General features: G+C 44.2%; 1 protein-coding gene across 8 annotated transcripts in view, besides 2 other annotated features; it reads left to right on the top strand.

Annotated features, from left to right (window-relative positions):
* Positions 1-16051, top strand: part of RUBCNL (rubicon like autophagy enhancer) — a 55362-nt gene extending 39311 nt beyond the window's left edge. For 4 of the 8 annotated variants that reach the window (NM_001286761.2, NM_001286764.3, NM_001349772.2 and 1 more), the window contains 5 exons: positions 381-619; positions 1385-1446; positions 5132-5285; positions 5901-5991; positions 7235-8993. In NM_001286761.2, the coding sequence (NP_001273690.1) occupies positions 381-619; positions 1385-1446; positions 5132-5285; positions 5901-5991; positions 7235-7347 (659 nt within the window). In that variant the 3' untranslated portion in view covers positions 7348-8993. Of the gene's footprint in view, positions 1-380; positions 620-1384; positions 1447-5131; positions 5286-5900; positions 5992-7234 lie in introns of all 8 variants that reach the window. The other 4 variants (NM_001286766.3, NM_001286765.3, NM_025113.5 and 1 more) reach the window with 2 other exon arrangements.
* Positions 11541-11620: an enhancer, noted in NCBI's record as "active region_7694". NCBI's record gives its function as "activates an Ori minimal core promoter by ATAC-STARR-seq in GM12878 lymphoblastoid cells {active_cell/tissue: GM12878}" and the evidence as "EXISTENCE:reporter gene assay evidence [ECO:0000049][PMID:35858748]".
* Positions 16538-16617: a silencer, noted in NCBI's record as "silent region_5320". NCBI's record gives its function as "represses an Ori minimal core promoter by ATAC-STARR-seq in GM12878 lymphoblastoid cells {active_cell/tissue: GM12878}" and the evidence as "EXISTENCE:reporter gene assay evidence [ECO:0000049][PMID:35858748]".

Here is a 22873-nt window from a genome sequence, read left to right as displayed (position 1 = left end):
AATAGTTAGCCTAACCTGCCTTCAGTCTTCCTGCTAGTGAGAGGAGTCTGGACTCCCACCCAGATTTCCAGATCCTAAAATGAATGTTCCTTTTGCTACACTGCAGTTTGCAATTTCCATCTTCCAAATCCAGGAGTATTTTGGGAAGGTTTTGTTTTTCTGACGTCTGTTCCACAAGAGCAGAGCTCATGAATGGCCATGATTTAATTCCCCAAGTCTCTGCTGGAGCCTTCCCAGCTGTCATGAGGTTGAGTATGGCTTTATCATCATGAAACAAGTCATCAGAGTCTTTGAATCTTGCGTAGGAATTGGAAGTCGGGGTATACCAGGATAGGTTTTCAGCACCAGGTGTGGCACTCACCCTCCGGTATGCTTGGCAGAGTTTGTGAAGCGGCTCCGGTACTGCGAATACCTAGGGAAGTATTTCTGTGACTGCTGCCACTCATATGCAGAGTCGTGCATCCCTGCCCGAATCCTGATGATGTGGGACTTCAAGAAGTACTACGTCAGCAATTTCTCCAAACAGCTGCTCGACAGCATATGGCACCAGCCCATTTTCAATTTGCTGAGCATCGGCCAAAGCCTGTATGCGAAAGCCAAGGAGCTGGACAGAGTGAAGGTGAGCCGCAGCCCCAACCCCATCCCTCTCATTGGAAGTGTCCTGTGGCAGGAAATGCACATCACACTAGCTTGGGGAACCCACAGATACATCCTCTAAGAGGCAAATGGATCATAAAGCGAGTGAAGCGGCTGGGCGCAGGGGCTCACACCTGTAATCCCAGCACTTTGAGAGGCCAAGGTGGGCGGATTGCCTGAGGTCAGGAGTTCGAGACTAGCCTGGCCAACATGGTGAAATCCCATCTCTACTAGAAATTAAAAAAAAAAAAATTAGTCAGGTATAGTAGCACACGCCTGTAATCCCAGCTACTCGAGAGGCTGAGGCAGGAGAATCGCTTGAACCCGGGAGGTGGAGGTTGCAGCAAGCCGAGATTGCACTACTGCACTCCAGCCTGGGTGACAGAGCAAGACCCTGTCTCAAAAAAAAAAAAAAAATTAGTGAAGCTTACACTTTGGAGCCCCTCTCCTGCACAGGCTCTTTCCAAGGCCCCACACTGAATCTTATACTTAGTATTATGTTTTTCTTGAAGAAGGCCCCAAAGTTCTGTAAGTTTTAGGTTCTACAAAACCTGGATCCATCCAGGGCACACTTTGTGGATCAGCAGACTCAGTTGTGAAGGCTTGCTGTATAGGCGGTTTGCTTTCAAGGTTTGTTTTATACAAGTGCAGCATTTCAAGCTTAGAAATAACATTTAAATTTGACTTGCACTTTTCCCGTGTCATTTATTACATTTAACTTTTCCCCGTGTTTGGTTTCTCCCATTAGGAAATTCAGGAGCAGCTCTTCCATATCAAGAAGCTGTTGAAGACCTGTAGGTTTGCTAACAGGTACTATTCTCAGCTGGGACAGGCTGCCTTCCCTCCATACATCTGCTAATCCTATTAGTGCCTCCTGCATCTGGCTCCCCCATTACACAGGGCTTCTTAGCACAGTGATGACCTCATGGCTTTCCTTGGGAAATCATGCCATCTCTTTGAATTACTAAGCCAATAGTGGGATGCATTAGTCTGTTCTCAAGTAGCTAATAAAGTCATACCAGAGATTGGGTAATTTATAAAGGAAAGAGGTTTAATTGACTCACAGTTTTGCATAGCTGGGGAGGCCTCACAATCATGGTAGAAAGTGAACAAGGAGCAAAAGCACGTCTTACATGGTGGCAGGCAAAGAGAGAGCATTTGCAGGGGAACTCTCCTTTATAAAGCCATCAGATCAGCCAGGCACGGTGGCTCACACCTGTAATCCCAGTACTTTGGGAGGCCGAGGTGGGTGGATCACGAGGTCAAGAGATCGAGACCATCCTGGCCAACATGGTGAAACTCTGTCTCTACTAAAATTACAAAAATTAGCTAGGCGTGGTGCTGCATGCCTGTAGTCCCAGCTACTTGGGAGGCTGAGGCAGGAGAATCGCTTGAACCTGGGAGGCAGAGGTTGCAGTGAATCAAGATCGCACCACTGAACTCCAGCCTAGAGACAGAACGAGATTCCGTCTCAAAAAAAAAAAAAAAATCAAATCTCGTGAGACTTATTCACTACCATGAGAACAACACAGGAAAGACGTGCCTCATGATTCAATTACCTCCCACCAGGCTCCTTCCATGACATGTGGGAATTATGGGAGCTACAGTTCAAGATGAGATTTGGGTGGGGACACAGCCTAACCGTATAATGGAGAATTTAACTCATTAAGAAGAATGGTTTAGTTGGAGGATGAACAACTCTAGCCAGTGACCTTTTTATTATTATTATTGTTATCATTAAATTGTGGTAAATACATATAAAATTTACCATCTTAACCATTTTTAGAATACACTTCAGTGGCATTAAAGTATTAACATCGTTATGCAATCATCACCACCATGCAGCCCCCAAACTCTTTTCATCTTGCAAAACTAAAACTCTGTATCATTTAACAACTCCCCATTCCCTCTTCCTCTTAGCCTAACTCCTGGCAGCCACTATTCTACTTTCTGTCTCCATGATTTTGCCCACACACATGCCTTATATAAGAGGAATCTTACAGTATTTGTCTTTTTGTGACTGGCTTGTTTGACTTAGCATAAAGTCCTCAAGGTTCATTCATGTTGTAGCATGTGTCAGAATTTCCTTCCTTCTTTTTTTTTGAGACGGAGTCTCCTTCTGTCGCCCAGGCTGGAGTGCAGTGGCGCGATCTCGGCTCACTGCAAGCTCCGCCTCCCGGGTTCACGCCAGTCTCCTGCCTCAGCCTCCCAAGTAGCTGGGACTACAGGCGCCCGCAACCACATCCGGCTAATTTTTTGTGTGTTTTTAGTAGAGACAGGGTTTCATCATGTTAGCCAGGATGGTCTCGATCTCCTGACCTCGTGATCTGCCCGCCTCGGCCTCCCAAAGTGCTGGGATTACAGGCATGAGCCACCGCGCCCAGCCAGAATTTCCTTCCTTCTTAAGTTTGAATAATATTTCATTGTATGTATATACTACATTTTTTTAATCCATCTATTCATCCATGGACACTAGGGTTGCTTCCCCTCCTTGGCTATTGTGAATAAAGTGGATATGACCATGAGTATACCAGGGGCCTTTTAAAACCCCTTATAGGGAGGCATGTCTAACCAAGTGGAACCATGGTCTTCAAAAATTGTACTTTTGGAAGTTTATCCTAAGGACATACCGATGGATATAGGTAGAGATTTAAAGTATAGTTTTTTTTGTTGTTTTTGGTTTTGTTTTAAGACAGAGTCTAGCTCTGTCACCCAGTTTGGCGTGCAGTGGTACAGTCTTGGCTCACTGCAGCCTCTGCCTCCCAGGTTCAAGCGATTCTCGTGCCTCACCCTCCCAAGTAGGTGGGATTACAGACATGTGCCATCACACCTGGCTAATTTTTGTTATTTTTAGTAGAGACAAGGTTTCACCATGTTGGCCAGGCTGGTCTTAAACTCCCGACCTCAGGTGATCCGCCTGCCTCAGCCTCCCAAAGTGCTGGGGTTACTAGTTTTGTTTTTAAATAAGAAAAGGCATTAAAAGTCTATTAAGAGGTATTATGCTCTCTCCCTGGGTGATGGGATCATTGATACTCCAAACCTCAGTGTCCTGCGATATACCTGTGTAACAAACCTGCACACATACCCCCAAATCTAAAATAAAAGTTGAAATTATTTTAAAAATCTAGGTGTTCGTAATAGGGCAGTACTTACATTAATACCATGTCCGTAGAATAGAATACTATACAACCAGTAAAGACTTAGGCATGAATTCATTGAGAGAGAGATTTTTAAGTAGAAAAAGCATAGGTTGCTCAAGGAAGTTAAGATTGTTTATTGTACTTGGTGGAATTATAGAGTTTTTAAATAAATGGTTTAGCTTTAAAGCGTTTTTTTCAGTCTCTAATCTTTAATGATGATGTATTGCTTTTTAATTAAATTTTGGGGGAAGGAGCATGTATTCTGGAGTCATTTGGTTTTGAGCCTTTGCTTCATGGCCTTGGCGTGGCATTGGTCTCAGGGCCTCGGTTTTTTCATCCACAACATAGAACAATACCTATACTTCCTACCTTGTACAAAAAATCTTGAATATCCATTCTGGGCTTCAGATAAAAAAAATTAGTAGATCTGTATTAAGTCCAGGGGGATGGTCAGCACCAACCGATCACTGCTGGACTGAGTGTTAGACACGTGTCGGGGGACCATGAGGATACAAACGGAGGCAGCATTTAGCTCAGTTAGGAGTGAGATAGGGTAGACCGCAAGCAAGGATTCCAGGAGAAAAAGGCTGAGCTTGAAGAGTAAGGTGGAGCAAAGAAGAGGGATTGGGGATTCTCCAGGCAGAGGATGCCGCAGGAGTGGGCACCTCAGGCTGGGTGCAGAATTGAAGAGAATTTGGCATTGTAGCATGCCAAGTCCAGTGTAGGCCATGGCTGTCTTGGAAGTGCAGGGAATAGTGCTTCTACTAGCCATTGAGAGAATTCAGGTCGACACCTGCCGGGTTTGGAGAAGATGAAGTTTTGAATGCCCTAGGGACCATGACCACTGGCAGTTGGCTGCATGAGCCTTAAGCTCAGTGCCTGACTCGTGCATTTGGAAGTCATAGGCTTGCCGAGTGAGTGAGAATTTTCGCAGCTGAGCCAACAGTCCATAAGGCTGATAGACTTGAAATGTAGCTGGAAGAAATAAGGTAGGAATTTTGATTACTTGGTAATCAAAGGGTACTAGGTTCACATTCTTTAAGACCTAAAAAACTAATGCTCAGTTTTCTTTTGCTCAATGTGTGCATGGGCAGGCTGTAAGAGATACAGGTCTCTGCTTATTCAGCTTTTTGAAATCAGCTTTCATGGAATTTTAACTTCCTGGCTTCCAAGCAAACTTGCAACATGTAGAATGGTGGCGAGCATGGTTCACTGTTGTTCTTGGAGCTATTTATTTTTTAAATTGAGTTAAAAAAAAATTAAGTGTGAGTGCCAAGAGAAAACAACTGGCCCCATTCTTCCCTGTCCTCTGTGTGGGTGGGTTTCTGAATTCCTCTTTGTTTCCTCTCTGGCAGTGCATTAAAGGAGTTCGAGCAGGTGCCGGGACACTTGACTGATGAGCTCCACCTGTTCTCCCTTGAGGACCTGGTCAGGATCAAGAAAGGGCTGCTGGCACCCTTACTCAAGGACATTCTGAAAGCTTCCCTTGCACATGTGGCTGGCTGTGAGGTGAGGGTGCACCCAGAGCAGATTCGTTCCCGATGCACCAGGGCCTGTGCTGGGTGTTCCGCACTTGACTTCATTTAACTCTCACAAACCCTGAGGGAAGTGCCGGTGACCTAGTTAGAGATGAGAAAACTGAGGTCAGAGCTGTGAAGTAACAGCTGAGATACCCCTGCTGGTAAGTGGCAGAGCCGGGATGCAAGCCTGGACCAATGGACTTCATCTGGGTGCCCAGTTCTGCTCAGGGCCCACTCTGCCCTGATGCACCAAGTATAGTCATGTGGAACCAGGATTCAATGGAACAGGAGGCTCTGTGTCTACACGGATTGAAGAATTGTAGTGCAGCAATGATAAATGAAATTAGATCATTTCAGAGTGCATGTTTACAATTAGGACCTTACTCTGGTACTTTAAAACTGCTTTGATATGGAATTGGTTGAATGTACATTTTTATCTTTTTTTTGATTCTGACCCATTCATTGCTGCAAAACAACATCCTTTTCCTTCTAGAGGCTGGAATCATAGACACTGAAACACTGATGTTTATAAAGTTCTGTAATAGTGAAAACTCAGCTTATCCATCAAGAGAAGGTTGTAACTTTTTGATGTCTTCTTTTACAGCTGTGTCAAGGAAAGGGCTTTATTTGTGAATTTTGCCAGAATACGACTGTCATCTTCCCATTTCAGACAGCAACATGTAGAAGATGTTCAGGTATTTAATAACTTAATAACATAAGCTTAATAATAGGTTAACTAATTAAACTAAGTTTAGTAACTTAAGCACAAAATTAACTTAAGCTGAATAATAGCTTAATAATTTAAGCACAGTTATTTAAAGTACAGTCATGCTGGTGTGTGCTTGTATGCTGGATTGGAGATAATGAAGTTTTGGGCACAGAAGGAGGAGTATTTGGGTGGGGCAGGGATAAAGGATAATGTCTTCTGGTGCAGGGTTTGGATAGAGGAGATGGTCCCTTTGTTGCCTGTGCCCACCTCTCTGTCTTGTAATTGGATCATTCATGCCCAGTGGTGAAGTCTCTGGCTGCTTTTGTGCCACGGAGGCAGAGTTGAGTAGCTGTTGTAGAGACCACATGGCCCTCAGGGTCTAAAACATTTGCTATCTGGCTCTTTACAGAAAAGGTTGCCGACCCTTCTGTGGTATTAGTGCCCGAGAGAATCCCGTGTTCTGTAAACTCTGTTTAATGGGAGAGATCCTGGTAATGAACTCTGCCTTCACCCTTGATAGGGGCATATCCTCCTCTCAGGCCACTCCAGTGTTGTCTCCCCAACCCTTTAGGCAGTGTTGCAGGACTGGCTCCCCAGCAAAGAGACTCTGGGGCAGAGACTTGCCTACAAAAAGTTTCATGTTCTTCAACTTAATACCTGTAGGGGTGTGCAGGCAGCAAGACTGGGAGAGGGAGAAGTTGAACTGTGGTGGGGTTGCAGTGGAGCCCTCAGCTCATCTCACGGGGAGCTCTGGAGTTTGGTGGCCTTTCAGCATTGTTCCAAACTGGGGACAAATTGGGGCCGGCCTACTCACTATATAGTGATCAGTCATTGAATGCAGGCTGGTGCCAGGAAGGGGACAAAGCAGCTTTCTCGATGTAGGGCCATATCTAGAGAAACAATGTGGCTTCCCAAGAGTTATCAGCCACCACCTCTCTTGGCAGCTGGGGAAACGCCTGCCTCAGTGCTTGAGCAGATCCAGGGGGCACTGCAGTGTCCGTTACATCAGGCTCTCTGAGCCTCCTGTTCATGACCTGTTGGAAGAGTCCAACAGGTCTGCTGAAATGTGACCTGCTGAAACGTGCGTTTCAGCCTGGCTGGTTTCTTTTTAGAAGACTCTGGGCTCTGGATTCAGACCCCTCTCCCTCCCTAGGATGGAGACGAATGTCTGCAGAAATGTGAGAAAACAAGATAGACCGTTTGCTAACGGCTCTCTTCCTTGCTTGCAGCGTGCAGGGCTTGCTTTCACAAACAGTGCTTCCAGTCCTCCGAGTGCCCCCGGTGTGCGAGGATCACAGCGAGGAGAAAACTTCTGGAAAGTGTGGCCTCTGCAGCAACATGATGCCCCTGAGTACTGTGAAAAAGACTGTTCAACATGCCTTATGATAACACCGATTTGTGTCTATTATTGGTGACATTGTTTTAGATATTGGGTATTGTATATTAAGGAAAAAGATGGTCTATATTCTCTTTATTGCATATACTTAATGTTTCAAAAGAATGCAGATTCTGTGTTTAAGCACAGGGCTGATAGTTGTGGTTTTGTTTACAAATGTTCTGTTTTGGCTGCTATTGGTTTTTTAAAGAGGTTTTTTATACTTTTGTATTTGAATAGTTATGTTTCACTGATGCTGAGCCAGTTTGTATGTGTGTGCATATATGTGAACTGTAACTGACAAGATGAATTACTCAGTTTCTCTTTCTCTAAAGCTTGTTTGATGAAACTGGTTGGTCCTTTCAGTGAACAAAAATATGACCCCAAATCTGTTTGCTCTGGCTTTTATTTCTTCAGGAAGCAGACTTCCACTTAAATGCCATTTTGTGATTGTGTCAATCATACACATTTTATTTACTTCAGAGTTTGAATAGAGAGTACACATTTCTTCTGCAGATTTATTTCATGATGAGTTTGAGTTGCTTAGCAGGGCGTGTGGGTCCCGTTGAAGTGCAGTTTGAAGCAACTGCTTCTAGATGGCACTCTTTCAGGTGGCACAAATTGAACCTGTATTTGTCATCTCTGTTCCACACACTGCAATGTCAAGGGATGCAGAAGTGAGTAGAATTCCATCCCTGCCCTTGAGGATCTTGCTTTAACAGATGTAAAACTGAACATAAGGTATTTGCAGATTTAAACGAACTGGGGGAAATAATGAACAGTGTGATTCTAGTAATAACATTAAAATCATAGACATTGACTAATAAGGTTAAATGAATCACAAAACCTTTATGAATTTCTTTTTTCTAATAGTTCTTATATGTTTTCCTGAAACATGTGAGCCTATTCTTTTTTCTTCTACTTTCTATATACTTTCTCCCACTTGAGAAAGGGGCCTTGAGGCTGGGTCCCTTCATGGTATACCTTTAGACTGAACGGTTTGCAACCTAGGGCTTGGGCATTACATTCCCTGGGATTCACATGCCCTAACTAAACCTACCTTGATTTTCTCAGACAGCACAGGCAGGCAATAAAGCGTCACAGATTGTCCCCTAACCCCATCCAGCCATGTGTATGAGTGTGTTTTATTCAATGGGATAGTACTGAGCACATGAAAGAAATGAATGACTTCTGTCAATCTCTTTTCATTCAGTCTTCTCATTCTGTCAATTGTTTTCTCATCCGCAGTGCCTCTGCCAGAACTGTGCTCACATCCATTATTTAAGCCAGATCTTTTCTAAGTATTATAGAAGTGTAGAGGCACATAGAATAAATAAAACCAGACTTCAAACAATGTTTCATTCTTGCCCATTGCTCCTATTCCCTGTTAAGAATCAAGGGTAAGAGTGGTATGTTCACATTCCTTTCTGAGGCAGATGTCTATATCTCCATTTACAGGCAAGGAAACTGAGGCCTAGAGAAGAGAAATAACTTTCCTAGGTTCCCACAGGAAGTGCATGATGGAGCTGGGGTTGACATTCAAGTCCACCTGCCTCCAAAGCCCATGCTTAGGCCCTGCTTCTTTTGTGGTGTCTTTTCAAGACAAAGGAGTAAAAACAACCTTAACTGGTAAGTGTTGCTCCAACTTGCAGAAGTGGCATTGGGCAGAGTGTTTTCTCACATCAGTGTTGATTTAAGGCAGCTGCTATGGCTCAAGCATTGCTTGAAGGGCTCTGTGCTCAGGGTTTGTATGTTTGTAAGGCACTGATGAGCCTGTGTGTGTTACATATCTTTGATATTAAGGAAGAGTGCACAGCAGTTGCCAGGAAGTGATGCTTTTGATTTTCTATTTTGAGGAAGAATGAGGTCATTTAAATAACTGCAGTATGGGATTTGTCTGAGACTTTGTTCCTCTCCAATGTGATAATAGAGGCTTCTTCCCAGGAAGGCACCTGTTAGGGAAGTGATCTTCAGCCCACATGGAGCACCCCATAAGGAAGTAATTAGTTGTGGCATATATAGCTGTTTAATGGGTCTTCCTGATTGTGTGGGTTTTCTGTTCAACTCTTCCTTGGCTGCCGGAAAGAAGATGAATGCTTGGTCAGACCATTACCCACTGTGAGGCATCAGTTGCAGTGCTGTAAAGGTCAGTGATTCATTTTCTGCCTCTGCACTCTTCACATGGGCAATTCCAGTAGTGTGTCATTTACAGTCATGATTCTCAACTGCAGGGAGGAAGTTACACCATCTCAAGGCAGAGGCTATAGGATGAGGAGGAGCAAGCCATCCCAAAGATGTCTGGTGTGTTGACCTGGGTGAGAATTATTGGCCACAACTTCAGATTAGATCCCAAATATGCCACTTTCTACCTACCCATGGTGACTTGGTGCTCTAGTTTGGCTTGTTTGACTCCTGCAAACCTCATGGTGAAATTTGATCCCCAGTGTTGAAGGTAGGCCTAATAAGAGGTGTTTGGGTCATGCGGGTGGATCCCTCAAGAATAGCTTGGTGGCACCTTTGTGGTGATGAGTGAGTTCTCACTCTTAGTTCCCATGAGAGCTGGTTGTTATGAAGCCTGGCACCTCCCTGCCCTCTCTTTGCCTCCTCTGTTTCCATACAAGGGGAGTCTGCACACGCAGGCTCCCCTTCCCCTCCACCATGAGTGGAAGCAGCCACAAGTCCTAACCAGAAGCAGATATTGGTGCGATGCTTGTACAGCCCGCAGAACCATAAGCCAAATTAACCTCTTTTCTTTATAAATCACCCAGCCTCAGGTATTCCTTTATAGCAACACAAATAGACTCAGACACTGGGGAAGCCATTTAAATTATCTAAGCCTCTGTTTGTAAAATGAGGGATATGACTCTCTGCAGTTGAGATAAGGATTAGAAATGAAAATGAAGCACCCACTAAAAGGCCTGGTACAAGCAAGGGCAAATGGTAATAATGAGGTCTAGACAGATTACAAACTGAGTCATACCCCTTATTTTCTGTATCTCTGGGTAAGTTACTCCCTGGGTCTCAGTTTATAATCTGTAATACAAGGATTAGAACAATAGCTACTGTTGTGGGTTGAATTGTGTCCCATGAAAGAATATGTTAAAGGTCTATGCTGGTGTCTGTGCTGTGGCCTTTTGGGAAGTAGGGTCTTTGCAGAGGTGGTTAAGTTAGGATGAGGACATAGTGCATTAGGATGAGTTTTGATCTAGTGACTGGTGTCCTTATAAGAAAAGGGAAATTGAGAGAAGAGAGAAGATGCAGGGAAGAAAAAAAGCAGAGGTTGGGGTGATGCATCTACAAGCCAAGGAGCACCAAGAATTGCTGGCAGCCCCCAGAAGCCGGAGAGAGGCAGGGGGCAGATTCTTCCTCAGAGCCTTAAAAAAAAAACCCAACATGGCTGACCCCTTGATTTCAAACTTCTGACATTGAGAATTATGAGAGAATAAATTCCTGGGGTTTTTTTGTTTTGTTTTGTTTTTGTTTTTGTTTTTTTGAAATGGAGTCTTGCTCTGTCACCCAGGCTATAGTGCAGTGGTGCGATCTCAGCTCACTTCAACCTCCGCCACCTGGGTTCAAGTGATTTTCCTGTCTCACCCTCCCGAGTAGCTGGGATTGCAGGCGCACGCCACCAGGCCTGGATAATTTTTGTATTTTTAGTAGAGACGGGTTTTCACCATGTTGGCAAGGCTGGTCTCTAACCCCTGACCTCAGGTGATCTGCCTGCTTCGGCTTCCAAAAGTGCTGGGATTACAGGCCTGAGCCACTGCGCCTGACCCTGTTGTTTTAAACCACCCAGAGTGTGGTCATTTGTCTGAGACTTCGGAATTCAAACCTGCTGGAAGGAACGTGGTAGACATGTCAGGAAGGGGTTTGACATTCAGTTTCTGCCCCCAGGTCTGAGCCTGCATGGCTGGCTTAGCCACCGTCAGATGCTACCTGCAGGAAGCCTTCCTGAACTCATCGCCAAAGGAGGGTGAAGTGTGTCATTTTTAGAAGCGTGCTTCCTTAAAACAAGCATTTAAGGATCTCTGTCTTTAAATAATTTCTCAACTGGTATGGGAAGGAAAACCGTAGTTCCCCTTTTTCACTTCACTAGAAACTAAAACAATACTTTTATGAGTAATGCTGAGGTAGCAGGCTGCAGACACAATTGGGAAGCTTCAGCACAAACATGAGAAATCGAGAACCTTTGCATCCTCGCATATCTGGGCAGCTCTCCAAGCCAAGGGGACTGAGGATTGAAGAGCTTAACCACATAGGTTAAGCAAATTGTGTATTTTTCCTTGCACTTTTTTTTTTTTTTTTGAGACAGGGTCTCGCTCTGTCGCCCAGGCTGGAGTGCAGTTGGCGTGATCTCAGTTCACTGCAGCCTCTGCTTCCCGGTTCAAGCGATTTTCCTGCCTCAGCTTCCCTAGTAGCTGGGACCACAGGCATGTGCCACCATGCCCAGCTAATTTTTTTCTGTTTTTGGTAGAGACGGGGTTTCGCCATGTTGGCCAGGCTGGTCTCAGAAGTGATCTACCCGCCTCGGCCTCCCAAAGTGCTTGGATTACAGGTGTGAGCCACCGCGCCCAGCCCTTCCTTGAACATTTTCTGGCCTCTGCTTGTGCTTCCAGGCTTCTTTCTCCCCAGGGCTGCCCCCTCTTTTCTAGTCCTGCCGTGTTCCTGCCTCCATGGTCTTGTTCTTCTTGCATCCCTTGCCTGGGATCAGGACTGCCCTTTCATCCTGGAAAGAGGCCCTGCTCTGGCCTTCCTCGGGCTACGTACATCCCCATTGGTGAGGAGACAAAGGGCAAGCGCACCCAAAGCCCCCACCCCTCCTGTTAGATCAAATGGAGCCCCAGACAGAATCCCCTGCCCTGTGGTCTCAACCCCACTTTTAGGGCTGCTCAGGTCTTTCCCCTGGTCCAGCCTCCTGAAAGTGAACTGCGCTGCTAAGACCAAGAGGCAGCCAAGGGGCAGCTGCTTGTAGGATGGAGCCAAAGTGGGAAGAGAGAGGGGCAGGGGTTGGCCCAATGCTAGCTATACCTGAGCCACCATGCTCCAGAGCAGAGCAGTGAGGAGTCAAAGATTTCAAAATTCAAACCTGCTTTCTCGGGTCCTGATGAAGGGATATTCACCATGGTAGGAAGATAAAACATATTTCAAATTTTAAATACTTGGATATATGGCATGTGGACCTGTATTTGTACTCTTGCATGGGCTCTGCAGATGGGAGTGGTGGGCGCTTCCCCTTTTCATCTCCCTCCCGATCTTGCCCATTCTTCAGCGTACTGCACGTGCACACACATGCTCCCTTCTCCTTACACTCTGATATCTGCATTTACCTCATTATTCTACTGGGGACAGCTCTCTGAACTTTTGGCAGCCTTTGATCCTTTCTATCTGCCCTTGAAAGTCTCTTGGAAGCTATGAGAGAGACTTTATTCTCCCTTTGCTCCTGCAGCCCCTGAAGGTCCACATTCCTGAGGGCCCTACCCAGCTCCCTGAGTGATTGTTTGAAATAGAACTACTCAGGAGTGCGGTGCCTGCATTGGACTTTTTACAAGCAAGAATAAACCTTTATTTTGTTCAGTTCCTGAGATTTTTGTGGGGCTGGTTCCTACAGTGTAACCCACCCTACTCTGACTAACATAAGATGTCCTGATACCTGTTGTCCAGGGGATGAGTACTGAGGGAACAGGTTTGTCACTGTCGTAGTCTGTTTAGGCTGCTATAATAAAATACCTTACGCTAGGTGGATAATAAACAACAGAAACTTACTGCTAACAGTTCTGGAGGCTAGGAAGTCCAAGATCAAGACAACAGCAGATTTGATGTCTATTGAGGGACCACTTCCTGGTTCATAGATGGCACTATCTCACTGTATCCTTACATGGTAGAAAGGAGAGAGAGCGGACCAGGCACGGTGGCTCACACTTGTAATCCCAGCACTCCCAAAGTTGAGATATATGCCTCAGGCTGAGACAGGCATATCACGAGGTCAGGAGATTGAGACCATCCTGGCCAACATGGTGAAACCCAGTCTTTACTAAAAATACAAAAATTAGGTGTGGTCGCAAGTGCCTGTAATCCCAGCTACTCGGGAGGCTGAGGCAGAAGAATCGCTTGAACCAGGGAGTTGAAGGTTGCGGTGAGCTGAGATCACGCCACTGTACTCCAGCCTGACAACAGAGTGAGACTTGGTCCCCCCTCCCTGCCCCCAAAAAAAGAAAAAGGAAAAGAGAGAGAGAGAGAACCCCCTGGGGTCTGTTTTACAAGGGCACTAATTCCCTTTGTGAGGGCCTCACCCTCATGACCTAATCACCACCTAAAGGCTCCACCTCCTAATACTGTCACAATTGGGGGTTAGGTCTTCAACACATGACTTTTGAGGAGATATAAATATTCAGTCCATAACAGTCATGCAGACATCAAAAACTATTCTACTCCTCTGAGTTATCCATATTATCTAGTATTCCTTACATTAAAAAATAAAGGAATATGCAGAGAGAAAAAAATTCTTTAACCTCACATTCCTTTCCAGTTCTACCTCTATGATCTTCTTCACAGCAACATTTTTGAAAGAACAGTTTTTAATGTTTGCCATCGCTTCCACACCTCTTTCTTCCTTTACCTACAACAATAGCATTTCCATCTCAACCATTCTACCCAAACCGTCAAGGTCACTAGCAATATCTAAATTCAGTAGTCACTGTATTGTCTTCACCTACCTCTCTACCACAGTTGCTTGCATTCTTCTTAACAAAAGAGAATACTGTTTTATAATAAAATATAATAAAATAAAAAAGTCTAGCTAAGAAAAGCTAGACTATAATGAATTTCATCATATTGTGGTGGTGATTATCTCTGTATAGTGGGATTAGAATAATTTTCAAAAATTTTCTTTGTAAATTTTACCATATAGACTAGATATCATTTTAAATAAATGATAGATCATTTAAACTAATGACAAATTACAGATGATAAATGAGATCAGTACTATACAACTTTTAAGAGTAATGGTTGCATTTCTACTGTCCATGCCCACAGTGGAGAAATCAGATTAGCTGTTGGGGACCACCTGAAACTCCATCTTCGTAGAGTCTGATGATGGAGGTGCTGCCTGGTACCCAAAGCTCCTGGTTTTCTTGGTTATTTAGTAAATTACTAAAGACCACGTGAACCAAAAAGAACAGGGCCGGCTGTCAGATAGACCAGATGGATGGATGCAACCATTCACCTTCCTCCTGGAAGCTTTGGAACCCGGAAACATCATGACATTTGTGATTTCTCCCCTTCCTCTGTAGACAGTGGTCTCTTTTCTTGGTCTCCTTTGTAGGTTTTCCTCTTCTTTCTCTGTCCATCTCTAAATAAAGACAGAGATTCCAGGGCTCAGTTTTGCCATCTCTTTTCTTCTCTTGGGATGGTCTTATCCAGTGAAATAGCTTTGAATGACTCTAAATTTGTAGCTTCAGCCCAGAGGCTGGTACTCAGCAGCCCACTGATAGCTGTGCTTGTATTAGTATTTCTTTACAGGCTTTTCCATCTCAGAAAATGGCACCACCATAGACCCAGTCGCTTAAGCCAAACACCTAGGAGTCATCCTTTCCCTTTCCCTCACTCCCCAGATCCAGTCCATCAGTAACTTCTGTCAGCTCTACCTACAAAATATATCTTAGTTGATGGCTCACCACAGCCACTGACATTATTACAGTACAAGCCACCATCTCTCTCCTGAACTTCTATTAGATTGAACTACGTAGCATTGCTGCTATTTTATAATTGTTGAGCTACCAAGTGGCAATTTCATGTGTGGTTCAACCTAATTAAAAACCTCCTATCTCCTCTTTCCACACTTGCCCCTCTATAGTCCATTCTCCACACAACACCAGAATGTTTATAAAGCATAAATCAGATCGTCTATCTCCGTGGATTAAACCCTCTGAAGACTTAATTTAAAATTAAGTTGGGTGGGTGCTGGCTCGTGTCTGTAATCCCAGCACTTTGGGAGGCCAATGCAGGAGGATGACTTGAGCCCAGGAGTTTGTGACCAGCCTGTGCAACATAGCGAGACCCTGTCTCTTAAAAAAAAAAAAAAAAAAAAAAAAACAACAACAACAACAACAAAAAGACACAAATTAGCTGGGCACAATGGTGTGTGCCAGTATTCCCAGCTACCCAGGAGGCTGAGGTGGGAGGATCGATCGAGCCCAGGAGTTTGAGGCTGTAGTGAGGCATGATCCCGCCACTGCATTCCAGCCTGGGTGACAGAGTGAGACCCCATCTCAAAAAAAAAAAAGTCCAAATTCTTTACCCAAGTAGGTTTCCTGTTGGGCTTGACCTGCACCACTTCCTGAGCTGTTCCTCTCTTCCCTCCATCAGGAACCTCTTTAAAAATTCCTCTTGCCCTTAGTATACCCCCAAATCTTCCCCCACTTTCCTTTGGGGTACAGTGAGTCTAAGTGATCCAGAATTTAGAGCCAGAAGCACTTGGATCCTTTCACTTCTAGTCCTGTGATTTGTGATAAGTTGCTCAAATTTCTTAAGACTCCGGTTTCCTATTTGTAAAATGCTGACAATCTGTCTCACAAGGTTGTCGTACAGATTAAATGATATAAGTTATGAAAAGTATGTTTAGCATCTTGTCTATCACTTTGTGTATAAAATTCAGTGTTTTTTTTCCCCCTGGCCTCCAAGCTCCCCTGCCTACCCTTAGTCCATCCCCCTTCCTTTCTGAATCATAACTTCTCTATAACCTCTTTATTCAGCCCTGGTATAATTCACACATCTGAATCATTATACCTCCCTCCTGCTCGTCTGACCCTCTGAGTCTTCCATAAAAATAACATCAACTTTCCTAAGGGACCCTTTCCCATTCAATCAGTTGTCGTGGGGAGGAAAGAGTGATTGTTTTGGCCCATGGGCATCATGAGAATGTAGAGTGGACCGTTAACAGTCAGGAAACCTACATGGAAAGGGTGGCTTAGACACTTTCAAGTGCAGTGACTTTGGACAGCTCATTTAATCTCTGCGTCTTGGCTCCCTTATCTGGAAAGTGGCACATAACACCAACCTTGCAGGGTGATTGTGTGCATCCAACAAGATAATGGAAGTGAAAGTGCAGTAATGTAAAGCACACCGAGATGTAGCTTAGAACAGTTACTCTCTTCTGGTGCTAGTGCTTATGAAAACCTAATGCTGGTGGTTTCCACCTTCAGAGCACATGTCAGTTGCCATTGGATTTCCTCAGAGTCACCTCCCTGTCAACCGTCTTTCACTGTCAGAGTCCAGATTGGCCACATTTCGGCTGAGCTTCCTGGGGCCCCGTCTTTGGATGAGAGAATTGGTGTGGGAGTGGCACAGCCCTAGTAGGCCAGATTTGGCACATAAAAATTCAGGCACCTAATTAAACTGAACTTGAGATATATGAGTAAGTTTTTACTGTATATATGTCCTGTGTGATATTTATATGTTTCTTCCAACCCTGAACTCTATAGAAAGCTGGGTGGACACCTTTCCTGCACTATGGCCATTCACGGTGGCCTGTGAGCTAAAGTGACATTCTGACCATGTCCTGACTAGTCACAGAACATGTGCCACCCTCTTGGCTAGTCATTTTACTCAGGGAGCTGCTCTTGGTGGCCATGGCCAACTGAGGATGCTGATATATGTGCATCTGCACAAAGCTCTCCTGGTACTGGAAAACTGACCACAATTTTCAGGTCTCCATCGCCCATCTTCTGCATCTTTACTCCTTGGGTGATCTCATGTATCCAGCAATTCTCAGTTGAAGACAATTTAAAAATCTATCACTGAGCATCAGCCTTGCTCCGGAAGCACAGGTGTGAACCTGACCCAGTGTGTACTCTAGAGACCCTTGCAGCCTCCGAAGTTGACAGTTTTAAACAGTCAGAATCACCTTCTGATTCCAGCTCCTCCTCAGGCTCTCACTTGGTTCTAAAGCATGACCTATAAAAATGCTCCAATAAGTACATCTTCCTCACACCATGGGGGCAGGAGAGTGGGTCAGGCTGCATACCACAAATGCCACCAGGCCCTCCCATTCCCTTGCAGAGTAGTCCTAGGACCCCCTGGAGAAGTCTCCCAAAGATGCATGCTAGGGAACACTCTCCATATACACACACATTACAAACACAAACACAAACGCATGCAGAATTTATTGCCTTTTTCTGGCCAAACCTGATTCCAATTAGGTTAACTTCCTCTGTTAACTACCTCCTCTCCTCCCCAACCTGAAGTTGTGACATGTTGTCTCTGCTGTAGCGTCCAGATGGCCAAAGCATGGGGCAGGGCTGACCCTGATGCCCCATGCCAGGCCCCTGCCCCTAGCCCCTGCAGCCATCTGGGTCCGTGTGGATCCATGTGGGATCTCAGTAGCTGCCCCCTTCCAGTTCCCCACAGAGGAGGAAAAACGTCAGAAAAGGGAAGTGGGGTTAAGATGGTGCAGACGAGTTAGTGGGTGCAGCGCACCAGCATGGCACATGTATACATATGTAACTAACCTGCACAATGTGCACATGTACCCTAAAACCTAAAGTATAATAAAAAAAGAAAAGAAAAAAAAAAAAGAAAGAAAAAAAAAAAAAGATGGTGCAGTCAGTTACAGCATCTCCACTGACATTCCGGCTCCCAAAGTTTTGTTGCTGATGTCTCTTCCTTCATCCTTTCTGTTCTTGTAAGTTCATGTCTTTAGAATAATTCCTTAATTGTTGTTTTTGAGCAGTCTTTCTACCATTGCTTTAGAGGGACTTCAGCAGTATGCAAAAGTAAACGTACGTTCAGGCTGCCATTTTTACAGGAAGCTAGAGCTCACAGCCTTTTTATTTTATAATTGTGGTTAAGCTTAAACTCTTAACTGTTGCGCTGTGCCTCACCTCTATGTTTCACTGTCTCGGAAGTCTTTTTTTTTTTTTTTTTTTTTTGAGACAAAGTCTCGCTCTGTGGCCCAGGCTGGAGTGCAGTGGCCTGATCTCGGCTCACTGCAGCCTTCACCTCCTGGGTTCAAGCAATTTTCCTGCCTCAGTCTCCTGAGTAGCTGGGACTACAGGCGTGCACCACCACGCCTGGCTAATTTTGTATTTTTAGTAGAGATGGTGTTTCACCATGTTGGCCAGGATGGTCTTGATCGCCTGACCTCATGATCCGCCCACCTCAGCCTTCCAAAGTGCTGGGATTACAGGCGTGAGCCACCGCGCCCTGCCCAGAAGCAGTTTTAACAGGGGACTAACTATGTTTGTGCCTTTAGAAAGTTAACTGTGGTGATGGCATGGAAGATGGAGATAGAATTGTGGTAGGGAAGCTGTTCTGAGGCTAGTATTGACAAAACTCTGTTACAAGAAGGAGCACTGGACTCTCACCTTCCTGGGAGCATCACTCAGTGCTGGGGGATATAAGTTCTAAAGTCGGATTAAAAATTACTTACTAGAAAGTTACCCTTTAAAAAGCTCTTAAGCAGCAGCCACATGGGAGATAAACATATGGAGAATTAATAAATCCAGCAAAGCAAGGCTGTTCCTCACATTGGAATAGATTGCTGTTTTAACACTTGAACAACAGAAAAAGTAGATGACTTGCATTTGTTGAATTAAAAAAAATTGTCTTCAGATATTATTTTCACACTCATGTACATGCAATGTACTGTACATGCAATGGGGACTGTACATGCAATGGGCACTGTACATGCAATGGGGACCAAGAGCCACCAAGGGGACCACAGGCTCTTGTCTGCCTGTCTCCACAGCACAGCCTCCTTTTTTGTTGTTGTTTCTTTTTCCTTCTCTCTTTGTTTTTCTCCAAGCTTTTGGTTAAATTGCAGTAAGTCAAATATGCAGTTGATGACATTGTAGTGTAATAACGAGAAAGGAAGCAGATAGCTGTGGTGAGGATAAAATGGTTTTGTGCCCACATAAACCGTGGCTATTTAAAAAATATTCCTCAATTCTTTCTCCTCTTAGTCTTTATTCCAAACTTAACTGCAGATTTTTCTCTCATATTTTTACTTTACAATATTGATGGGGGGTGAAGTGAATGATTATTTTCCCCCTTCCTAGCATCTAAATTCCCTTCCTAATGTTGGGAAATTTCAATCTGGTGATTCTTGCTGGGAGCCAAGACCATGTCCTACCATAAATGCAAAAATTTCCAGTCTTCTTCCTTCTCTGACCTTTTTTGCAGCCAGGGGACTGGCAGGCAACCCAGGCACCACAGATTGGTTGCATCCCGGAAGTTCTAAGATCAGGATCTTGTGATACAGGGAGGCGGGGCTGGGGAGCACCCATTCCAGGGGCATAGCCGTGGTGTGATTGTGCCTGAGGTTCTGGCGACTGTTGGCTCCTCATTTCGGATTATTTCCAAGCATGGTTCTTTAACCTTCCTTGCTATTCTGGAAGCTCCTGATGTCCTTTCTACAAATCTCTGTTCTGCTTAAAGCAACTGGAGCAGGTGACTGTTTCTTTGAACCGTGAACTCTGACAGATTTTTTAAAAAGGGGGAAATTTTCCAGGAGCCTGGTCCCAGTCCACAGCCACCAGGGTAATGTATGCCGAGTGACATAGGTGTATGCACGCACGTCCAAGTACATGCACACAGCCTCATTTACTTGGGCTTTTTTTTGCTGTTTAGGTTAGGTTTTGGGGGCTTAAGCATCTTTGAATCCTGGTGAGAAGGGCCAGGCTGCACTTGCTGCTCTGGTTCACAGCCTGGGGGAGTGGATAGAGTGTGAAGAAGAAAGTGGGGAGGAGGAAGCCCATGGCAGAGAGAGGCATGACTTTCACCCTTGCCTTGTCCCGGTCCAAGCAGTGTTGACCTCAGAGGGCCTCTCATCCAGTTTAACCTCGTATCTGGTCTGGTGAGGACAAAACACATCTTTTTTGAATAGAAGTGAGTATGCATTGGACACCTTTTCACTGTTTCTAGCTGTTACAATTAGCAGACAATCCTAAAGCTGCAGAGGTGCTTCTGCTGAATTTTTGGTTGGTGTTTCAAAGCATAAACCAAGAAGGATTGTGTCATTAAAATTAAGAAGAAAACATAAGGGGAAATCTTTCCTCATTATTCGCCTGGAAAACTATTCACCCTTCATTGCCATCCTCTGCGAAGCTTAGCCTTGTTCTCCAACTCCTCTCAATATTAGTTACTCTTTCTGCTTTATTATTTTTATACCTTGTATATATTTATACTATTACACACTTTTTTTTACTGATTACTAGTCTGGCTCGCCTATTATACCACAAGGTTTTTGAGGGTATCTTGAGTATCTCTGAACATTTTACTCACAATGCTCCTGACACCAAATGTGTGGGGGTTTTCCACACCAATGACCAATTTTCCTTCTCTCAGGACACCGACTGGTTGTCCTACAGTTTAATTCAATTCTGGCACTAACTACCCGGAGTTAATGTTGGACTGTACAGGTTTAATTACTCAGCCCCCAAAGGCTGTCCTTACTTCAGATGCCGGACCCAAGTATTGGGTACCCAGGCTACTCACGTTGCTGTCTAATTTGGCTACAAAGTTGGAGGTTCTCACAAGCCTCCCTGCTTTCAGGTTCAATAATTTGCTAGGATGACTCAGAGCTCAGAAAAGTACCTATATTTACCAGTTTATTATAAAAGATACAACTCAGGAGCAGCCACATGGAAGAGATGCACAGGGTGGAGTATGGCGGAGGGCGCAGAGCTTCCACACTGTCTCTGGGTGCAGCACCCTCCCAGCGCCTTGATGTATCTACCAACCTGAAAGCTCTCCAAACCCCGTGGGATTGCTATGTTCTACACACACTGATTTTTCTCTCTATTTTTAGAAGGCATTAAACTCCTAGCTCAGAAGACACTGTTTACTGTTCCTTCCCAGGGCTTCCCATCTTCAAATGTTGGGCTTCATCCCAACCTCAGACCACAGCTCAACCCCCCTACCCTCCCCCTGGACTCAGTGGGTCTTCTTCTTACATGTCTCCAAGTCAACATGATTATCTTTTCATTGTAACATGTAACAGAAGTTACAATTCTCTTATCTGCTCCCTTCTGACAACCGCTGCCCTCAGTAGCCTCTAAACTGAAGGCACACACATTTCATTCGCTTTAGCCTCCTCTGGCACATACCAGCTACTCCATATACTTTATTGAATGAATGAATCATTGATCAAGGTAAAAATAAGTGAGAAAATCAGGATGAAGATAAAAAAAGAGGAGAAAATACACCATGAATTCAGGGGAAATGTCAGAATATAGAATGCAAGTACAAAATGCTTTACGTTCACTAAGGGAACATAAATTTGGCCTTGAACTTTCTCACAGCTCATGTAGAAAGCAGTATTCTCAGTTATGTGATTCAGGCCCCTGAGATAAAGATCAGATGTTTTAAAATCAGGAGAGATGCAATTATTCCTAGAAATCGCCCCTGAGAGATATTTCTCTTGGGGGTCAGGTAGAGCCTCAGGATATCCTAAATCAATATATCAGAGCTTCAGAGAAATTTCTGCTTTCAGCAGAAAGCAGCTTCCCATGTAAGCCCCTTGAAGGAGGACCATATTTATTTGTTATTTATTTTAATTCTCCTCTAAATGGAAAAGTAATGTATTACTATTTCTGATTATAAAAGTTATTCGTGTTCACTCTAAAAATCCCAAACCTTTGAAAATGTATGAGTTTTGTTAGCTATTCTCCTACATCTATTAAAAAGGGGATTATTTAGCAAATTCTATTATGTGAACTGCTTTTTTCTCCCAGTAATGTTTTTGGATATCTTTTCATGCCAGTTCATGTAGATCTGCATAGTTATTTTAATGCCTGTATCGTATTCTATTCTGTGGTTCTACCAGAATTCATATGACCAATCTAATTTTTGTCCAAATATTTTGCTGTTATAAATATCCTAATATTTTTTACCATTATAAAGGTATAATATTATACCTATAACTTTATTCAAGGGTCTAATTATTTCCTTAGAATGTGTTTTTCTTTCTTTTCTTTTCTTTTTTTTTTTTTCTATTTTCTTGAGACAGAGTCTCGCTATGTTACACAGGCTGAAGTGCAGTGGCACAATCTCGATGCACTGCAACCTCTGCCTCCCGGGTTCAAGTGACTCTCTGCCTCAGCCTTACAAGTAGCTGGGACCACAGGTGCCCACCACCACACTCAGCTAATTTTTGTATTTTTAGTAGAGGTGGGGTTTCACCATGTTGGCCAGGCTGGTCTCGAACTCCTGGCCTCAAGTGATCCATCCACCTTGGCCCCTCAAAGTTCTGGGATTACAGGAGTGAACCATCATGCCTGGCCTCTTTTCTTGCTTTCTCTCTTCTTTGCTTCTTATATTTCTTTCTAGCTACTCCTTTGGCACCAGTTTGAAAATTTGTCATAAGATTAATTCTAGGAAAAGGAACTGCTAGGGCAAAATGTGAGTCTAATTAACATTTTAATAAATATTTCCAAATTACCTTCCCTAATGATGAATCAATTCAAACACTCACTGGTTGTGACTGAGAATTTTCATT

This window comes from Homo sapiens, chromosome 13, assembly GCF_000001405.40.
Source record: "Homo sapiens chromosome 13, GRCh38.p14 Primary Assembly".
Taxonomy (NCBI): Eukaryota; Metazoa; Chordata; class Mammalia; order Primates; family Hominidae; genus Homo; species Homo sapiens.
This window is presented reverse-complemented; position numbering and strand designations above follow the sequence as displayed.